Source organism: Homo sapiens, chromosome 3, assembly GCF_000001405.40.
Source record: "Homo sapiens chromosome 3, GRCh38.p14 Primary Assembly".
Classification (NCBI taxonomy): Eukaryota; Metazoa; Chordata; class Mammalia; order Primates; family Hominidae; genus Homo; species Homo sapiens.
In genome coordinates, this window is record NC_000003.12 from 43,506,153 (window position 1) to 43,529,057 (window position 22,905).

At 39.4% G+C, this 22,905-nt stretch overlaps 1 protein-coding gene across 21 annotated transcripts in view; it reads right to left on the reverse strand.

The window, feature by feature from the left end:
- ANO10 (anoctamin 10) overlaps positions 1-22,905 on the reverse strand; it is a 325,747-nt gene that overhangs the window by 140,305 nt on the left and 162,537 nt on the right. For 3 of the 21 annotated variants that reach the window (XM_017006718.2, XM_011533885.4, XM_047448429.1), the window contains one exon: positions 6,753-6,856. The exons of 14 other annotated variants lie outside the window; for them this stretch is intronic. In XM_017006718.2, the coding sequence (XP_016862207.1) occupies positions 6,753-6,856 (104 nt within the window). Of the gene's footprint in view, positions 1-3,592; positions 6,857-7,361; positions 8,858-22,905 lie in introns of those variants that run through there. 4 more of the 21 variants (XM_047448428.1, XM_047448430.1, XM_011533889.4 and 1 more) reach the window with 4 other exon arrangements.

A 22,905-nucleotide genomic window follows, 5' to 3' on the forward strand; every position in this document is an offset into this window, starting at 1 on the left:
ATTTGACACAAATCATTCATAACGTCATCCTTGTCTCAGAAATGACAATTCCATTTGTGAAGTTGCTCAGGCCAAACCTGAGGGTCATCTGTGATGCCTCTCTTTTGTTACCCCTCACCTCCAACGTATTATCAAATCCTTTATTTTGCATTGAAAATCTATGCACAACCCAACCACTTTGGCTACCTCCACATTTCCTGCCCTGGTCCAAGACACCGTCTCTGTCCTAAGCCATTGCCATGACTTCCTACCTGGTCTCTCTGCCTTTGCTCATATCCTGTGCATTTTACAGTCAACAGAGTATCCAGAGGCCCCATTAACACATAAGTCAGACTCTGACTATCCATTCCTCTACTCAGAGCCCTCCGGCAGCTCCCATGCCACCCAGAGTTAAGCCAAATGACCTAAAAATCCCTGTGTGATCCTCTGCATCATATTTATGGACTCAAACTCCCATCACTCCCTGTGATCCAGCCACGAGTTTCTTTGCTGTTCCTTAATAGCCCAGGCCCACCCCTGGGCCTTTAGGGTGCTGTGCCTTCTGCCTGCACTGCTCTTCCTCCACTAGGTATCTGCATGGCTTTCCCATCACTCACTCCAGGTCTTAACCCAGAAATCATTCTCCCTAGGACATTTTCTCAGACCAACTTCCTTAAAACTATACCACCACCCCCACCGTGGTACTTCCTATCTCCCTTCCTCACCTTATTTTTCTCCTGAGTGGTTATTACTGATTAACATACTATACATTTCATCTCATTATCATCTATCTTCCCCCCTAAAATACACTCCACGAGTACAGAGGTTTTCCTTCCTTTTGTTCACTGCTGTATCCTCACTGCGAAGAAAAGTGTCTCGCATCAAGTAGGTGCTAATATATCTTTATTGAATTAACTGAATGAGTTCTAATTCCTACTTATTGGAAGATTCTAGAAGTCCTGTCAGTTTCATAAGAAAAAGGTGCTTTTTGTTAGCAGGTTTGGTATCATTATCTTTTTATCTACCCAAGAGTTGATAAGTACATTTCTCTCTGTATCCATACAGCAAGGAAAGTCACTGGGTACCTTCTTTCACTAGAGTCAGATACCACAAACAGAGGGATGTGAGAAATTTTCTGGACTGTCCTTCGTAGGAGACAGGGTGGGTTGTATTCTTCCCCTTCCCCTTCTTTACAGGAGGGAATAAGAAGTGTTCAGCGAGGCTCAGGGACCTACCACAGGTCCAGGCCATGTGGGAAGCTGGGGCACAATCCTCACCCAGGGCTGCTTCTTCAACTGGACACTTCAACATGCAGCTGGGTCAAGTGTGCAAGGCATCCCTCCCACAACCCCTGGTGCTGCTGGTCCCTGGAAGTTTAGAAGCAGACCAGTCAGCACTGCCTGGATGCCCTCATAGCTAGGACTGACCCCTTTACAAGGGACAAAAAAAAAAGGAAACACAGCAAACCTCTGATGGTGGCTGGACTGCAGGAGAGTCACTGGTAGGCCCAGTGACCAGGGACACTCAGGAAAGGCATATCTAAATCCTGATGGATGAGGGTAGCCTTTTCTTCTCATAACTGGAGAAAATAAATATACAAGCTCAGGGATTTTCTCTGTGGGTTCTAGGGGGCCGTTCTGTCACTATTAACTGTGATAAAAATGAAATGCCATCTGCACACGGGTCTGGTTTTGAAGAAAAAGGGGGAGATTGTATAGTTAGCATGTAACTGTTGAAGAGCATAAACAATTGCCAACAAATACTTGCAAAAAATGTCATCAAACAAAAAGGAAATGTTCTAGGTGTTTGTAAAAGGCAAGAGAAAAATGTGATGTTCCTTATTAAAGAACATTAAGAACACTGAAATAAAGTATAATTTTAATACTTTACAATATTTTTCACAATCAAGAAAAAGTTTATGTTGCTGAAGAGGGAGTAAAAGTCAAGGGGAAGAAGGTAGAGAATAAAAAAAGAATAAAAATAATTAAAACAGAAAAATGCTCTAATTCTATTGAAGGTACTTCTCCCTATTTTTCAAAAAAGACCAAACATTAAAAAGTCATGAAGAGACCTCATCAAAATTAAAAACTTTTCAAAGCTTATGTGAAGCTACAGACTGGGAAAAAATAGTTGCAAACCACATATCCAACAAAGGAGTACTACCTAGGATACAGAAATATTTTTTAAAACTCAACAACTAAAAAAATCATTAGAAAATGGGCAAAAACTTCAGCCATTGTGGAAGACAGTGTGGTGATTCCTCAAGGATCTAGAACCAGAAATACCATTTGACCCAGCAATCCCATTACTGGGCATATACCCAAAGGATTATAAATCATGCTGCCATAAAGACACATGCACATGTATGTTTACTGCAGCACTATTCACAATAGCGAAGACTTGGAACCAACCCAAATGTCCATCAATGATAGACTGGATTAAGAAAATGTGGCACATATACACCATGGAATACTATGCAGCCATAAAAAATGATGAGTTCATGTCCTTTGTGGGGACATGGATGAAGCTGGGAACCATCATTCTGAGCAAACTATCGCAAGGACAAAAAACCAAACACCGCATGTTCTCACTCATACGTGGGAATTGAACAATGAGAACACCTGGACACAGGAAGGGGAACATCACACACCGGGGCCTGTTGTGGGGTAGGGGGAGGCGGGAGGGATAGCATTAGGAGATATACCTAATGTAAATGACGAGTTAATGGGTGTAGCACACCAACATGGCACATGTATACATATGTAACAAACCTGCACGTTGTGCACATGTACCCTATAACTTAAAGTATAATAAAAAAAAAAAAAAGAAAAGAAAAAAAGAAATCTACAAAGAAAAAAAGAAGAAAGAAAATGTGGCACATATACATCATGGAATACTATGCAGCCATAGAAAAGGATGAATTCATGTCCTTTGTAGGGACACGGATGAAGCTGGAAACCATCATTCTGAGCAAACTATTGCAAGGACAGAAAACCAAACACCGCATGTTCTCAGTCATACATGGGAATTGAACAATGAGAACACTTGGACACAGGGTGGGGAACATCACACAACGGGGCCTGTTGTGGGGTGGAGGGAGGGGAGAGGGATAGCATTAGGAGATATACCTAATGTAAATAATGAGTTAACGGGTGCAGCACACCAACATGGCACATGTACACGTATGTAACAAACCTGCACGTTGTGCACATGTACCCTAGAACTTAAATTTAAAAAAAAAGAAATAAAATGGGCAAAAACATAGACATTTCACTGAAGAGGATTCAGCAATGGCAAATAAGCACTTGAAAAGTTGTTCAGCATCATTAGCCATCAGGAAAATACAAATTAAAACTACAATGCAATATGACTACATACCCATCAGAATGGCTAAAATAAAAATTAGTGATAGCACCAAATTCTGGCAAGGATATGGAGAAACTAGATCACTCACACATTGCTGGTGGGAATATAAAATGGTAAAACCACTCTGGAAAACAGTTTGGCAGTTTCTTATAAAACTCAACATGCAATTACCATTCAACCCAGCAATGTTACCTTTGAACATTAATCCCAGAGAAAGAAAAACTTATGTTAATACAAAAACCAGTACTAAAATGTTCATAGCAACTTTATTTGTAATAGCCAAAAACAGGAATCAGACCAGATGTCCTTCAGTGGGTGAATGTTTAAACAAATTGTGGTATATATATACCATAGATAATAATCAGCAATAAAAAGGAATAAGCTACTGGTATACACATATATTGAATGAATCTCCAGGGAACTGTGCTGAAGGAAAAAGTCAACCCCAAAAGGTTATACACTGTATGATTACATTTATATAACATTTTTGAGAGACAAAATTTTGGAGACAGAGAACAGATTTTGGTGATCATCAGGGGTAAGGAATTGGGGTGGGTGAGGGGTCCCATGGTAATGGAGCAGTCCTGTATTTTGATGGTGGTGGTAGATACATGAACCTATACATGTGACAAAACTGTATAGAACTAAACACAAGGCCAGGCACAGTGGCTCAAGCCTGTAATCCTAGCACTGTCGGAGGCCAAGGCGGATCACCTGAGGTCAGGAGTTTGAGACCAGCCTGGCCAACATGGTGAAACCCCGTCTCTACTAAAAATACAAAAAGTTAGCCAGGCGTGGTGATGCATGCCTGTAATCCTGCCTACTGGGGAGGCTGAGGGAGGAGAATTGCTTGAACCCAGGAGGCAGAAGTTGCAGTGAGCCGAGATTGTGCCATTGCACTCCAGCCTAGGAGATAATAGTGAAACTCTGTCTCAAAAAAAAAAAAAAAAGAACTAAACACAAATACACACACACAAGTACAGGTAAAACTGGGGAAATCTGAATTAGATCAGTGGATTGTATCATTGTAAATATACTGGTTGTGACACAGCTCTACAGTTCTACAAAATATCACCATCCAGGAAACTAGGTAACAGGTACACAAAATCTCTGTGTATTATTTCTTACAACTGCATATGAATCTCCAATTATCTCAATAAACATTTAAATTTTAAAAAAATCATGGAGACATTATGGCCCCTTCTCCCACATCCCTGAGACCTAACTGAATATACCACTGTGTACAAAGAAGTGAGTGAGCTTGGCAGCCAAAAAATGCATTTGGTTCAACTGATGCTTAATTAAACCCATCAAATTTACATAGACACTCTCTAACAGTCCTCTTACTGAGTCAGCCAGGGTTTACATTCTGTATGCTATTCATATCTCCAGCTACAGTTGAAAAAACGATATTTTAAAATAGTAGGACACAATCATATTTAGTTTTAGTATAATCATACTGTTCTCAAGGTGTCAAAAATTACCCGTTTATCCCAATTCACAGTTTAATTAAAATTGTTAAAAAGCAAGATAGTATAGTTTGATTAATGTGTCCAATTAGTGAATTTTTATAAGCAACATTCAAAATTTCATGCTCTTTATGATTTCATTTTTAAAGACGATCGTTTTAAGTCAATTAATGCAAAAAGAGATAATGCCAATAAAATAATGGACTGCAACATGCACAAAATAAAAAGTATTATTATATTTCCAACCTAATTTATTTATACATTATGGTTGTTTTAGCTTTTTTATTGCTGCTCTAGTAACACAAATTAGATTTTTTTAAAATTCACAAAATATAGTCCATATATCAATGTATTTATTGACTTCACAATATCTGCAAAATCTCAGAAAAACGTTTTAGCAATGTCCTAGCTCTAGGCTGACATTTCCAATTCTATTTAGTCCTAGAGTGGAGTCTGCATAAACTGTTCCATATTAAATTAACGTCTAACATCCCATCCCTATCTCTGACTGAAAATAATCTTTTATAAAATAAACTTAAGCATCTTTCTTCACGTGTAAATCATGACTGTGGATAAACAGAGTCAAGCAGAGCCCATTCGTTTGTTTTTCTGCTTATGTCTGTTAGTCATTGCCCTTCATTCCTTGTAGCTCCCACCTTAGTACCCCACTTTTAGTTTTAGGATATACAGCCTGAACTGGCCCTGCTACCTAAGAGGATCAGAGAGTCATGTCTGTAGTCTGGCAAGAACATGACCTGTAAGCTTCTCTCAAGAGAGAAAATGCTTGCTTGAATTCAGAAACCACTTACAAAGCATACAGGGGCTCTCTATTGTGAGATGAAATCATGCCTGTGGGGTAAGAGTGTAGATTTTTACCTACATTAAAACAAGAGCACTGGCTCCAGGCAGCCCTCAGGGCACTGCCTTGCTCCAAGGTGTTTTCCTGAGCAATGCACACACAGGACAATGAGGTCCATGGTACAAGGGCCAAATTCTAAAGCAGCAGAGTCTTGTCATCTAAACCCAGGCAATCAGGCAATCACAAGCTCCCCACTGTGCTTTTGGACAGCCCAGGCTGTAAGCTGGGGTGGGAGTGTGGAGAAGGGTGGGAGCCCCGGATGTGGGGACTTTTACCAGGACAAGTACCAGATGCAGCCCATGATCTCTCACTATGTCAATGCATGATTCTATCATATTTAGCTCCTGTCACCCAACTAGCAAGTGTCTTCTGGGAAGGTGCCCACTCTCTCACCATTTTGTATTTTCCAGCACTGAGAACAACTCTAGGCACAGAAGAAAAGCAAGGTAACATGAGAGAGCAATATCTCAGGGACCAGTCAGACATGAGAGAGAATCCCAACTCTGCCTTTGTCACTTAATAAACACTCATATAATTAATGCACACTGTGCACTATTCTGTGCATTATTTTAAAATAATGACTTACGCTTCATAACAATGTTATGACGTGGTACTATTATTAGGCATTATTTTGCAAAATTAAGACCTGAGGCACAGAGAGACTCAGTAATTTGCCCAAAGTGTGAGTGGGCCACAACGCTAGCAGTAGAGGTCATGAGGAGTTGTCAGATTCTGGATATATTACGTTTTGCAGTGGTGTGAACAAGAATCTTGGACTAGAGGTTGCAGAGAGATAAGTCAAGGATGACTCCAAAGTTTCTGGCCTTAGCAACTATAAAGATGAAGTCACTAATTATAGAAATTGAAAAAAATGTTATTTTCATTCTTCTTACATCCTTATTAGAAATATCCTAACAGACCACTTCCACCAAGATGAAGTAACCCTTCCACCCGAAACAACAACCAAAAAACAAGACAAACTTTATAAAATAACACTTTCAAGACACTGGACATCAGGCAGTGAAGAACTGTGGTTCCTGATGGAAAAGAAGCAGGGTGAGCCTACAGCTGCTACTTACTGCCTAGACAAAGTCTCCAGGCCACAGTGCAGGGAGAAAACGTCAGGATGAGCACAGCAGACTTTCTGAGTCATGATGAGAATCCAGGGACAACATGGCACCAGCTGTTTGCAGGAAAACAAAAGAAGACAGAGCTGCAGAGCAACAGATAGCTCAGGAGGTCTGCAGGTGATCTCCCTCAAGTTTTCAGTAGAGGTCTTACCAGCACACGTATGTGAGGAAACTATCTGAGGTCCGGGAAAGCAACATCAGACCAGGTTGGAAGAAACAGAGCTCTGTTCACACAGGACTGAGAACAGTGTCTGTCACCACCAGCCAGACCAGAAAATCTAACTCAGGGTCACCAGAGAGAGTGTTTGGAAGAGTCTTGACTCAGTACTGGGAAATGATTACGAAGGAGGAGAAAAATGGAAGTAAACTATTGTATGGTTCTTATACTATGTTGTATGTGAAGTGGTATAATATCTTGAGGGTAAACTTTGTAAAATAAAGATGTATACTATAAACCCTAAAGTAACCACTAAAACAACAAAACAAAAAGTTGTTGCCAATCATCAAAAAAGGAAAAATATGGAATTTCACTCACACACAAACACACACTTCTATGAATTTTTTTTTCTTTTGAGACGGAGTCTCACTCTCTCGCCCAGGCTGGAGTGCAGTGGCATGATCTCCACTCACTGCAAGCTCCACCTCCAAGGGTTCACGCCATTCTCCTGCCTCAGCCTCCTGAGTAGCTAGGACTACAGGCGCCTGCCACCACGCCCAGCTAATTTTTTGTATTTTTAGCAGAGACAGGGTTTCACCATGTTAGCCAGGATGGTCTTGATCTCCTGACCTTGTGATCCGCCTGCCTTGGCCTCCCAAAGTGCTGGGATTACAGGCATTGAGCCACCGTGCCCAGCCACACACTTCTATGATTTAAAAGAAGGAAGAAAAGGGAAGAAATGACAGATCAGGCAAATAAATAATAAAAATACCTACGTATTATTTGCTATTTTTAAATATTTAATATTAATATTAAATATTATTTTGTTTGCTATTATTTATAACATAGATGTTTGCTGTTTTTCTATTTTTGCTTGCTATTTTTATTTTGTTTGCTATATTAGAAATAGCATATTATAATTTATATAATTTATTACATTATAAATAATTGCAAACAAAATTAAAATTGCAAGCAAAAATAGAAAAAATAGCAAACACATAAATAGCAATATGATACACTTTAATCATATCAATAATCAGATTAAATATAAATGCCATAACGCCCCAATTAAAAAGGTTGAGCTTGTCAGATTGGATAAAAATACAAGACCTAATGATATGTTGCCAAAAGAAAACACACTTGAAATATATAGACACAAATAGGTTCAAAGTAAATGAACCTATGGATGTAAAAAGTCATATTGTGCTAACACAAATCAACAAAAAGCTGACTTAGTATTAGATAAAGTAGATTTCAAAGCAAAGAATATTACATCCGGGATAAAGAGATTATATCATAAAAAGGTCAATCCATGAAGATGATGAAACAATTATATACCAAATGACAGAGCTTCAAAAAAAAGAAGCAAAAAGTGATAGAACTGCAGGGAGAAACAGACAAAGCCACAATTATAACGGAAAATTTCAATACTGTTCTCAAAAATTAATAGAAAAAGTAGACAAAAAAAGCAGTAAGGATACAGAAAGCCTGAATAAAACTATCAGCCAACTTGACCTAATTGTCATTTATGGAACATTCTACCCAACAATACCAGAATACCCATTCTTTTCAGATGCACATGGAACATTTGCCAAGATAGCCCATATTATGGGACATTAAATAAGTCTCAATAAATTTAAAAGTACTCAAATCAGACAAAATGTTTTCTCTGACTACAATGTAATTAAATTAGAAATCAGTAGCAAAAAGATATTTGGAAAATCCCAGTATCTGGAAACTAACATACTTCTAAATAACACATGGGTCAAAGAAGAAATCAAAAGAAGAATGAAAAAGTATTTTGCACTGAGTAAAAATGAAAACACTTGCCAGAATATGTGGGATGCACTAAAACACTATGTAGCAGGAAATTTTATCTCAATTCCATCTTCAGGAACTAGAAAAACAAAAGCAAATAAAAGAAACAATAAAGAACAGAGCAGAAAGCAAAGAAATAGAAAATAGTAAAACAATACAGAAAATCAATAAAGTCCAAAGTTTCACTGATTTTTCAGAAGATCTATAAATGTGATGGTTAATTTTACATGTCAACTTGACTGAGCCATGGGTGCCAGGATAATTGATTAAACATTATTTCTGGCTGTGTCTATGAGGGTGTTGCTGGATGAAATTAGTATTTGAATCCATAGACTGAATAAAGCAAAAACCTCCCTCAATGTGGGTGAGCCTCATCCAATCCACTGAAGGCCTGAATAGAATAAAAGGCTGGGTAAGAAAGAATTCTCTCTACCTGTCTTCTCCTGCCTTTGGGTAGCCCAGCACTCACATCATGGGCTCTCCTGGTTCTTGGGTCTCCAGACTAGGACTGGAATGACACCATTGTCTCTCCTGGGTATCCAGCTTGTCAAGTGTGGATCTTGAGTTGGGGCTTGGCCTCCATAACTGCATGAACCAATTCCCTATAATAAATCTCATTTTATATAATCTATTGGTTCTATTTTTCTGGAGAACCTAGAGAAATACAATAAACTTCTAGCCAGATTGATGAGTAAGAAGAAAAGATACAAATTACCAATATCAAGAATAGGAAAGGTGACATCACTGGTGATAGAGAAAATAAAAGCACAGCTGATGAGTTGTAGCTGAAGCTATAATCTAGCCCTAGAATCAATGGACACAATCGAGATAACTTCTTTGCTTCGTATTGCTAAGAACTTGCCCCTTTTCTAAAACCATAAGCTGTAAATACCCCAGCCTGGGGCAAGGTTTCCTTCTGACTACTGAATATACCCTGACTATCTTCCCTCAGGAAGTACAATGAAGAGTAAACTTAAGGAATCTACTCCTGCCTTCTGAGCAGAATCAAGGGCACATGCAAAACTGCCTCTTCTGCTCTCCTGGTTCTCAAAACGACGTAGAGAGGCATTATCATTCTCTTCGTGATCTGAGATATTTCACATATAGATCACGACCTTACATTAGCAACACCCCAATTGAGCACCAACCATGTGCTCAGTACTGTGACCTGGGACTGGGGTAATGCCAACTCTGAATACAGCATGGATCCTGCTCTCAAAGAACTGATCAACTAGGGGAGAGTGAATACACAGTAAAGGAATGGATGAAACTTCAACATGTTATGGGAGCATATTAATTAATCATTAACGCTAAACAGAGAGACCAGGGAAAACTGAGGGAAAGGTGATGCCTGAACTAGACTTTGAAGAACAAGGGATCCTCTGAAGAGCAGAAATTGGATGGGAGAAAATTCCAGGCCAAAGAAAACTCCAGGCAAAGACACAAAAGCAGGAAAATGTAAAACACAGCTATGCCTATAATACAGTATGCATGTTGAAAGCGTAGGGCGAAGGGAGACTAGGGACGAAAGACAGATAAGAGGAGATTACAGAGGACCTTGAATCCCTTGTTAAGGAGGCTGGACTTTATTTTGTAAGAAAAGGAAACCAGCAAAGGCTTTTTCAGCTTGCAAGGGATATAGTCAGAACCGTGCTTCACACATATTAGACTGGAGAGAAAGAAACTGAAGTCAAGGATAGTAGTGAGGTGCTTACTGAAATACTCCAAATAAGACATGACAGCAGTGGCCTGGTGCAAGGCTGATAGCACCTTAGAATGGTGGGGATTGAAGGAGTAGGCATTCTGGAGGCAGAATAAGCAGGTGGGAGAGAAAAGAGATCTCCAAAGGAAAAGAGCACAGCTGAAAATGTTCCACAGTTTCAACGTGAGTAACATGAAAATAATGTTCCTATTTGTTGAGATTATAAAACAGAGTAGGAAGGAAGCACAGGGGTAGGGCTCCAGGGAGGTGACATGCCTTCTTCTGAATGGCTGAGATAGTGGTATTTATGGAATGGCCATGGGGACATGTCTTCAGGAAGCCAGAAGGCCAGGGCCAGCAGGGAGATGCATAGATTTATGAGTCGGCTGCACAGGCAGGAGAGCTATGCTATAAGAACAGCTACCATGCTGTAATTACATCAAGCTTAAGCCCAGGCCTCTGTAGGAATTAACTAATCAGTACATTTTTTTCAGTATCCAATCAAGTTTTTATAATCTAATCTCTTGTAAACATTCAATGTTTTACACAAAACAATTTTATTGAATGTCAAGATTATATGAATTTGATAAATATTCAAACATTTGTAACCTAAAGCAAATTTTTTCTAGTTTTTATATTAGTAATATCCAGTTGTGTTTAGCTTAATTATACCTACAGTGCTGCTTGAACTATCTGAGGTGAAGGACCAATTTTTAAATTCCCAGTCCATTATGGTCCTACTGTCCTATGGACTGAATGCCCCCTTGCCCTCAACAAATTCATGTTAAAGCTGTAACCCCCAATGTGGCTGTATTTGGAGACAGGGCCTACAAGAAGGTAATTAAAGTTGAAAGGGGTCATAAGGGTGGGGCCATGATATGATAGGACTATCATCCTTACATGAAGAGATACCAGTGAGCTCACATACTCATTCTCTTTGAGTACACACAAAGAATTGGTCATGTTAGGATATAGCAAGATGGTGGCCATCTAAAAGCTAGGAAAAAAGGTCTCAGAATGGAACCTACCCTGTTGGCACCTTGCTTGGATTTTTGTTCTTTAAGCTACCCAGTCTGTGTTATTGTGCAAACTAATGCATACTACGTGTGACCAAAATGAGCTTGCATCTCATGCAGATCATCATACAAATTGAGCACTACCCTAATTGGTTTACCTTGGTTAACAGGATAAGCCCACTGATTGTGTGCTTAAATACTGCAGCAGCATCAAACTGCCTTAGGAGTTTGTAAACACCTTCCATTTCTGTGCTTATCTGATTGTGGGCTGGTAAAAAATACTTTGTGGACTAACACCAGTCTGCAGATCACACTTTGTCCAGCACCAGTTTACAGTCTTTCTGTGATTGTTTTGTGAAAAAATGCAACATTTAGCTTAAGCACATAACTCAAAGGCAGGAATTTTAAACACACGTATGCTGCAGAGTGAGGGGAATAATACAGAAGCTCAGTCCTATCCTATCTGGGCAAGTGTTGTGGGAAGTCAGGAACCCTGAACGGAGGGACCTGCTGAAGCTGTGACAGAAGAACATAAATTGTGAAGATTTCATGGACATTTATTAGTTACCCAAATTAATACTTTTATAATTTCTTACACCTGTCTTTACTACAATCTCTGAACATAAATTGTGGAGATTTCATGGACATTTATCACTCCCCCAATCAACACTCTTATAATTTCCTATGCCTGTCTTTAATCTCTTAATCCCATCATCTTCGTAAATTGAGGATGTATGTCGCCTCAGGATCCTGTGATGATTGCGTTATCTGCACAAATTGTTTGTAGAGCATGTGTGTTTGAACAATATGAAATCTGGGCATCCAAAAGGAACAGGATGGCTGCGATTTTCAGGGAACAAGGGAGATAACCATGGGGCCTGACTGCCTGAGGGGCTGGACAGAACAGTCATATTTCTCTTCTTACAAAAGCAAATAGGAGAAATATCACTGAATTCTTTCTCTCAGCAAGGAACAGCCCTGAGAAAGAGAATGCTTTCCTAGGGGGAGGTCTCTAAAATGGCCGCTCTAGGAATGTCTGTCTTATATGTCGATAAGGGATGAAATAAGCCCCGGTCTCCTGTAGTGCCCCCAGGCCTATTAGGATTAGGAAATTCCTGCCTAGTAAATTTTAGTCAGACCGGTTGTCTGCTCTCAAACCCTGTCTCCTGATAAGATGCTATCAATGATAATGCGTGTCCAGTGGGACATGAAACTTCATCAGCAATTCTAATTTCGCCCTGGTCCTGTGATCTCGCTCTGCCCCCATTTGCCTTGTGATATTTTATTGCCCTTGAAGCATGTGATCTCTCTGACCCACACCCTATTCGTACACCCCTCCCCTTTTGAAATCCATAATAAAAACTTGCTGGTTTTGCGGCTCAGGGGGCATCATGGAACCTGCTGACATGTGATGTCTCCCCCGGACACCCAGCTTTAAAATTTCTCTCTTTTGTACTCTTTTCCTTTATTTCTCAGACCAGCCAACACTTAGGGAAAATAGAAAAGAACCTACGTTGAAATATCAGGGGCTGGTTCCCCCAGTAGGCAAGATCCCTCAAGACATTGCAGAAAGCAGTTTCTTAAAAATTAACAGCATTGTGCCTTATTTATAACATCCCCTGTATTCTGTTTCCCTTTAGCTCTTCCATCAGTCTCTGTAATCATATCCACAGAGCACATTACATACAATTAGATTACAAACTCACCGCTGGAGCACACTACTTCTTTTTCAATTGAGAATATATATCAATTCACAAAACAGATGCCCTCAAGATACTCTAACTAAGATGGACAAGCAAATTTATTCTTGTGATCCTGCCACTGAGGGGAGAATCCTCTGGTTGCAATGGGGCACCGTCCAACTTTCTGATGTCCATTCCAGAGGATCTTTGATGGAATCTAATTCATACATTTGGTTTCATTTGGAGCCATTACTTGTTTGCTTGTTTGTCCTCCTATAAGGTAGTGTTCACTCATTTTCAAAAGCTTCATCCAACTAGCCTCTACATCAAGTATGAGAACCATGCTTATCCCTTCACTCATATGAGGGCAGACCAGAGATCAGGAGAGATCATCATGGTCTCGGGCCAGGATCATGCTGATACACAGGTAGGTTACAAGATCACGGGGCATATTTTTTGCAAGCAAGATTGCTGTGAAGTTAACTTTGTTGGCTGAACTTTACATTTTTCTTATGTCCAAGGAAAAGAAGTGTTATTTGTCTTGTTTCTTTTCAGTTCTTGTAACTGTAGGGCTTAATGAGGGAGAGCTAATACAGGACAGAATTTCAGAATGTAGAGGTCCACAGGAATAACCAATGGCAACCTCCTTGTAGCAGAGATGGCTATCTATTCACCTAAATCATCTCCTCTTTATTCTGGGCACAGAGCTGGACCACATTTCCCAGCTTCCCAGTGACCATATGGTCTCCTGATACCCACATGGCTGACTTCCACAACCAGTGAAATGTGAGTTGGAGTTATATGTGCCCCTTCCTGGCCTGGTCCATACAACTTTCCTTCTTGCCATCTTCCATATCCTCCTCCCCAGCTCTTACTTTTAGGTCATTAATCCAGTTTTAGTTGATTTTTGTATATAGTGTATGTTAGTCTATTCAGGCTGCTATAAACAAAATGCCATATACTTGATAGCTTATAAACAACAGAAATTTATTTCTCACAGTACCAGAGGCTGGGAAGTCCAAGATTAAGGTGCTGGCAAATTTGGTGTCTGATAATTAACACAACACTGGTGATTAGGTTTCAACATATGAATTTTAGGGGGATAGAAACAGACCACAGCATGGAGTCCAAACTTCATCCTTTTACATGTGGATATCCAGCTGTTTGCACCATTTGTTGAAAAGACTATTCTTCCCCCAATGAATTGTCGTGGAACTCTTGTTGAAAATCAATTGACCATAAAATGTGAAGGTTGATTTCTGGCCTCTCAATTTGAGTACACTGATCTACATGTACATTCTTTTTATTTATTTATTATTTTACTACATGGGCATTCTTATGCTACTATGATTACTGTAGTTTTGAAATTTGGAAATGTGAGTGCGTGTACTATTTTCTTTATTTCAAGATTGTTTTAGCTATTCTGGGTTCCTTGCATTTCCATATGAATTATAGGATCAACTTGTAATTTTTGAAAATAAGTCAGCTAGGATTTAAAATAGGGATTGTGTTGGATCTATAGATCAATTGGAGAAGTACTACCATGTTAATATTTAGTCTTCCATTTTTTTCTTTTTGATGCTACAATAAATGGAATTGTGTTCTTAATTTCATATTTAGTCTGCTTATTGCTAATGTATAGAAATACAATTCATTTTTGTACATTGTTCTTGTCTCTTGTAACCTGAACTCATTTATTCGTCTGAATTGTTTTTAATGGATTCCTTAGGATTTTCTATTTACAAGAGCACATCACCTGCAAAGAGAAATAGTTTTACTTCTTCCTTTCCAATCGACATGCATTTTATTTTCTTATCTACTTCCCTTGGCTAGAACTTCCTGGACAATGCTAAATAAAACTGGTAAGTGGTAAGGGGAGGTACCCTTTTTCTTGTTCCCAATCTTAGAGAAAAAGAAAACATTCAGCCTTTTACCATTAAGTATGATGTTAACTGCAGGTTTTGCACACACATCACTTATCAGGTTGAAAACAAGGCATAAATTTTAAAATGCTGCTGTCAAGCCTTTAATGGTATTTACAGGGAAGCCTTATGTTTGAGAGCTGAGTCTGGCCATAAAATGATAAATAGTAGAGAACCCCAATCTCTTACTTCTAGGAAAAATGATAATCACAGAAATGGAACTTTACTTAACTGATCAAGATGCTCTTGAGACAAATGATATAGTTGAGATGCTCCAGACATATGAAAAGATGCTCAACATCAGTAATCACTGGGGAAATGCAAATCAAAACCACAAGGAGGTACTACTTCACATCCACTAGGTTAGCTATAATTTAGAAAATGGAAAATGAAGTGTTGACGAGAATATGGAGAAACTGAAACCCTCGTACGTTGCTGATGGGAAAGCAAAATGGCACAGCTGCTACGGAAAACAGTTTGGAAGTTTCTCAAAAAATTAAACACAGAATTATCATATGACCCAGTGATTCTACTCCTGGGTATATACTCACAAGAATTGAAAGCAGGGACTCAGATATTTGTATGCCAATATTCACTGCAGTATTATTTACATTTGTACTAAAATAGCCAAAAGGTGGAAATAACCCAAGAGTCCATCAACAGAAGAATGAATTCAGTATATGCATACAATGACATATTATTTAGCCATAAAAAGGAATGAGGTTCTGATACATACTATAACATGGGTAAGACTTAAAAACATAATGCTAAGTGAAATAAGCCAGACACAAAGGGACAAATAAATGTATTATTTTCTTTACATGAAATGTCTAGAACAGGCAACATCACAGAGACAGAAAGTAAAGCAGAAGTTGCCAGGGACTAGGGGAAGGGGGAAATGGAGAGTCATTGCCTGCTGCGTACAGAATTTCTGTTTGGGGTAATGAAAAAGTTTTGGAAATTGATAGTGGTGATGACTGCACAATGCTGTGACTATAATTAATGTGACTAAATTACACACTCAATATAATTAAAATTGCAAATTATGTTATTATATTTTACCATGATAAAAAAATACATTAAAAAAAAGCTCTACAGCTATTTCTGCATCTACACTTTCACCATTCTTTATGATCATAGCAATATTCTGGTGTTCTTTTCTAGGAAAACCCTGTGACTTTCATCATGTCATTGCATATATAGCACAAGATCCTCCTAAGTCTTGTGACTATTCATTTACCTACAAACCAAGAGCTTCATACAACTTTATGCATTAGGGATCTGTCATTTCACTGCAGTTTAATATAGACAACTGTGTTCTGCTCTCTGTCTTTGAAAGTATTGATGCTGGAAATGTAACTGAATCAAGCAGGGTTTTTACTTGCAAGCCACAAATACCAATTCTGGTGTATCTGGGCAAAGAAGAGGTTGGTTAAAAGGTTATCAGGTAGTTCACGTACCCTCTAAAAGGTCTAAAGAACCAGGCTGAGCAGTCATACAGTGAGGAGCAATGTCCAAAGTCATATCTAGAGCTGGTTCAGCAATGATGCCAGGCTGCACACAGGCACAACACCATTGGCATAGCACTGCCACAGCTACTGTCAGCTGAGTGGATTCTGCATGGTACCTGCCTCTTGGGGTCCAAAAGCTTACAGTTCAAAGTTTAGGGTAAAAAATTATTACTGGCTCAATATAGATCATGTGCCCACGTCCATACCCCAGAAGCAAGGGAGGCTGGAAAGGGAGTACCTGCATTATCAGCTTCTATAGTGGGAGGGGGCATCTGCCATGAGGTCAGAGATTCTCTGGACACAGGAAAGAGGTTTATGTGTTCAGTGATAAAACAGGATGACTCATGTATATTACACCAGTCTTTCAGGCAAACCAATATTCAAACCTGTCAACTTAAGCTAAGTATGCCTGAAAAGGGGGTTCTCAGCAGAGGAAACAGCACAGCCTACAATACCAAGTAAGCAAGAGCTCATTCCATTGGAGGAGTCACATGAGCTGAGTATTATTAAAGTGGAGAGAGGAGAGCAGCGGAAAGAGCTGCATGATTTCATGAAGGGCCTCGAAAACTACACTAAAATCTGGGCTTTAATCCTGAAAATGGTAGAGAGGCAGTAAAGGCTTTTAAGGAAGGAGTAAGATCAGATTTCTGTTTCAGAATAATCATTTTAGCAGCAGAATGGATTAGAGAGCACCAAGACTGGGGAGCCTGGATGCCAGTTAAGAACATGCTATGCTGTAGCAACTCAGAAAAGGAATAATGAGGGCTTACCCTAAGGCTACACACAAGGCACTGAGTGGAGAAGAAATGGGTTAGATGAAACAACCACCTGGACAGTAGCTGTTTGAGTGTGAGGAGTGAGGATGACTAACCCCAAGTTCTGGTTATGACTAGATGGATGGTGGTAGATGAACTCAGCTTTGGACTGCTCAATTTGAGATCACTGGGAGACATTCAAGTGAAAGCAACGAAGGTAAATACATACACAATACACATGTAGATGTCCAATGGGCACTGTTAGGCGTAAAGGTAACGCAAGCCATGGAGTAGACAAGCTCACCCAGGGGCTACAGAGGAAGTCATGGGGTAGATGAGCTCATCCAGGGACTACAGTGGAAGCTGTGGAGTAGATGAGCTCATCCAGAGACTAGAGTGTAAGCCATGGAGTAGATGAGCTCATCCAGGGGCTACAGTGGAGGTGGAAGTCATGGGGTAAACAAGCTCACCCAGGGGCCACAGTGGAAGCCATGGGGTAGATAAGCTCACCTAGGGGCTACACCTGGAGTAGATGAGCACAGGGGCTACAGTGGAAGCCACGGAGATGAGCAGATGAGTTTAACCAATGATTGAATGAAGAAGAAGAGGATTGGGAAGGAACCTTAAGAAAGAATAGCCCAGGAAGAAGCTCAGGAACAGGCTTAAGGAGGAATAGCCAAAGAGGTAGGAAGAAAACCAGGAAACGAATCCCTCATAGAAGGAATGACTTTCTAGAATAACTGAGTCATTTGCTTCAAACAAGCATTGTGCTTGGTTGGGGGAAATATTCAAAGAAAATTTTAGGCAACAGTTTTGTCAAGTTTCCAACTCAATTCCTTTTAACTCCCCCTACCCTACCTTTCCCATGTAGATCCTGAGAGCTGTCTATAAGTGGTAATTGCAGCATGCCTGCAACAGTTCCTGCATTTACAGTCCACCCCACAGCAGTAATCTGGCCTGGCCCTAGAGACCAGGAAGGTTTCCTCAAGATGCTTCCTTCCCTCCCCAAGTACCCTGTGCAATGATTATGTGTTGCACAGTTGGGGCAGGTGAGAAAGGGGGAAGGAAAGGGAACATGGATTTACTGATGCAGATGATTCACTGAACTGGGTTTCTAGTCCACCCAACTGCCCACTGGGCTCCTCTTGCCTGTTTCACAGGTACCTTAGACTCAGCGGGACAATGAACACATCTGGGCTCTTCTGCCAAAACACAGATCTCTTCCAGCATCCTTTATCTCAATAACTGGCCCTCCTCCAGTACCCAAGCCAGAAACCTACAGTCACTCATGATATTTCCTCTCCCCTAACACACAGTGTATCCAACACAGCACCAAGAACTCTGAATACTGCTTCCAGTACATGCCTCTCCAGAAGAGTCACTGCCTGTCCTGTTCCAATCTACCAGGATCCTTCCCTAGAACCACTGCAGTTACCACCTAACTCACTGACTCTTCCAACCCCTCTTAAACATTCTCCATGCTGGGTATGAGTGAGAACCATCCTCCAAGTTGAGCAAGACAAGGGTTGTTTTGGTTTTACAAACTGCAAATGTGTTGAGGTCATCACCACAGCCATACTCTTACCCCCCACCGACCAATGACTGCCCAGGGCTCTTAAGTGAGAAAAAGGTATCCTCAATGTGGCCTGTGCAGCCAGGTCATCTGGCCTCTGTGTCCTCTCTAGCCTCACCTCACATTCTTTCCTGCATCTTCATAGCTCTGGGACTCCATGGTCCCTGGGCAGGCTATCCTCTCTGCCCAAAGCATTCCCTCCACAGTCCCTCATCCCCATCTCTCACTTCAGGCTCCATTTTACTGGATACTTCTCCTTAAAAACACCTTTCAGACTCCGGACAAGGTCATGTTCCCCTACTCTAAACTCAATCCTTTTACATCTATCTGCATGACTATCTGGTGCTTTGTGTTCATGCTAGATAAAGCTCCAGTGCCAACAACCATTCCTGCTTCTGCTCAGCCTTAGCACAAGGTGTGAGCACCCAAGTATCTGCTAAGTGAGCACCCCCACGAGGCACAGTTAACCCCATGGTCAGAGGCCAGTGAACTTCCCTTCTCATCACCACAAAGTACTTTCACCATAATTAGTGGGAAGAAGTAATGTAAATGGGATAGAGTTATTAGGCAGGGAAAGATGTTTTGTCTCTCTTCTTTCCTCTTTCTAAGTTCCTAAAATAAGCTTGCAAGTGGTGGTGAAGGGAGCTGATGCATTTTCAAAGAGCGGTGGCCCAGTTTTCAAATTTGTTCCTCTCCATTGTGAGTTTTCCTCCTTCTGTTTTCAATATCAAAATGCCTCAATTTATGAGAAATCTAATGACAGTTGGTCACTTCAAACCTCAGATTTTCTGGAAATCATTCCTTCTAAATCCAAGGGTCTGCTGCCACTGTAGTGTACCAACAACATCGCTCCACTTTGGATTTATTTAGTTGTTTTGCAACAGAGTCATTATTCTATCTTCAAATGACAACATTTAATATATTCTAGCATATTCACATAATATACTTAGAAAGTATTAAGTAAAAAAGTCATTAAATGCAGTACACTTAGAGAAATAAAAGCACTTGAATGATGAAAATGATGAAACCTTAAAAAGGCTGCCAACTTACTTCTTTAGTCAGGGACATGACTAACATATGGACTGTAAAATTACCTTTCCCATTTTAGATTCACTTTCAGAATTAGCAACATGTTAATTGTCCTGTGCAGCCACCAAATCTTTAAATATCTTTATATTTTATTAATCTCTCTAATCAACCATCATTTTGACAAGTTCCTCACTGGATTTAGATATGCAACATGTATGATTATTTTTGTAACACTAGAAACAGGGCCTCTGTGGAGTCTTGTGGCTCTCTGCCAGCCACGGAGAAGCGTCAGCATGCATGCCCACACGGCAACACAGAGGATTAACTGACCAGGGAAACAACTGCTAAAAGAGCACCAGAGTTGGGAAACAATTTCAACATCCTGAGACGATTGAAAATATATCAAGAGAATGTATAGTATAACATATACAGAATTTAAAGAGGCAAAACTAAATGGCAATTGATGTCAGGAAAGTGGTTATTTTGGGTTGGTGGTGACTAGGAAGAGCATGAAGGGGCTTCTGGTAAAACGTCCTATGTCTTATGAATATGTTCACTTCTTGACACTTCATTCAGCCTAACATTCATAACCAGTATCTGTATCTATGCTACACCTTAACAAGCAATTCCTTAAAATATTTTGAATATTTACTTAAGATAGCCTATAAATAATATAGAATATAGCATCTATATTCTTATTTTAGCCCTACTTTAATCAGTAACAGCAGAGGTCCCTTAAGTTCTCTTAGGGTCTAAAATAATCTCTAGTCTACTGGTTGACCTCAACAATAATGAAAAACAGTATATATTTATAAAATACACACATACATATGTGTGTGTATACATATATATACACACACACATATGGTACATACAATGGTACATATATATATATGGTACATACAATGGATGTAAAACACACACACACACACACACACACACAGCATGCTTCTATTTAGTGGCTTGGGGCAAAGTTACACAAGATTTAAATCATAGATTTATGGACTCATCTGTGTAAACTGATTTCTGGGAAAGATTTTCACATTGTGTCCAATGGCTGTTTGTATATTTATACTAATTCTATTTCAAAATGCCCCTTATCCAATTAAACTATTACAACATATCCAGCATGCTCCTTACAGATGACATATTAGAGGTTTACCATTATGTTAACAAGAATAGATTTTGTAATGAACTAGGTATAAATCAAAATAAGTATGATAATTCAAATAATATAAAATAAAATATGCTGCACACTAAACAGAAGATGAAGTACTCTTTAGTTCATATATAAATATATTTAAATTGCCTGAACACACCAAAATGAATTCAATTTTTTCTAGATATAATAACATTATTACAGAGTTCTGGGTTCTCATAGGACAATGGAGCCGTCTAAATCCAAATCTCTCCATATATACTCAAAACCAAAAACAAACAGATCAATAGGAAGAGAAGACAAACTAACCATTCCTCATACCTACAACATTAACTAGGAGATAAGCAATGGCATGAACTTCGTGTTACATGAAAATAGGGAAATAAACATCCAAATCCAGCAAGACTAGCTCCAAAGCCCACACCTAAGTGGCAAGTCAAGTCAGACACTATGAAAGAGAGGGAAATAGAGATCTAGCGATATTGGAACACAGATAAAATCACCCCCAGAAAAAGAAATTTTCACTAAGAAAAGGTCTGTGAACTGCTAGATCAGAGAGTTTCTAGAGAATCAAAAGGATAGTGCTTGAAAATGCACAGAATCAGATGTGGTAGTTTTAGGAAGGCACCATTTTGAGGGAAGGATGGGGAGGAAAGATTTACGGAAGGCTCAGGTATCTCCTGGAGGCTGAAGATTATCGGAAAGAAGAAAGCAAAAGGTAGAAATTAACAGTCCTAAAGACACAAGAACAATACTCACACCTCTCACTACCAAGAAGATACTCGTTAAAAGAAACAACATTTTACTATACCAGCAGAAAAGAGTGCTCTCAAACTAAAAAAACTCAGTAAGCTACCCAAAAACTCCTTATTCTTTCCAACAAGAGCTACTATTGCTAGTCTAGGAAAATTTCAAAATGAAAAAAACGAAAAAAAAAAGCAGATAACATCTGTACAAGGTTACTATGAAAATAAAACAGACATTGAGAATCAAAGTATTTCCATTTTTGATTTTGTTCCTCAACAACATGAAAGCAAACAAAAACCAAACAAAACATAACCAGATGAAAGTTATAACTCAATAATCAAACCTGAATTAAATAACCTTAAATAAGCATTTAAGAACATGAAAAAAAACTTCAGATAAGAAGTACAAAAACTCAGATCAAAAATATCTAACAAATGAACAAAATGGAAGATATGAAATGAAAGTGGCTAAATTCAGTAAAGAAAAGGAAGAAGAGAACAAAATCATCTTAGAAATAGTGATAAATTACAAAATGGCAAGGGGGAAACTACCCAAATGAAAATATAATAAGGGACACTGAAGAAAAGCTTGAAAAACTAAGAGGACAAAAATAAAAGAAAAATATGTGTCAAAATGAAAAAAATGACAAGGAAGACAGGCAAAGAAGATCCAACATATAGCTGGAGACTCAGAAGAAAAAAACAGCAGAACACAATATTAAAAACTGTAACTTACCAGCCTGGGCAACATGGCAAAACCCCATCTCTACAAAAAATACAAAAATCAGCTGAGCATGGTGGTGTGTGCCTGTTAGTCCCAGCTACTCAGGAGGCTGAGATGGGAGGACTGCTTCAGCCCTGAAGGTGGAGGTTGCAGTGAGCTGGACTGCATCACTGTACTCCAGCCTGGGCAACAGAGTGAGATCCTGTCTCAAAAAAAACCCACATAAACAAACAAAAAAACCCTGTAATTTAAGAAAATGTTCCAGAAACAAAAGAAAGCCTGAAACCACATTTGAAAGGGCCCATGTG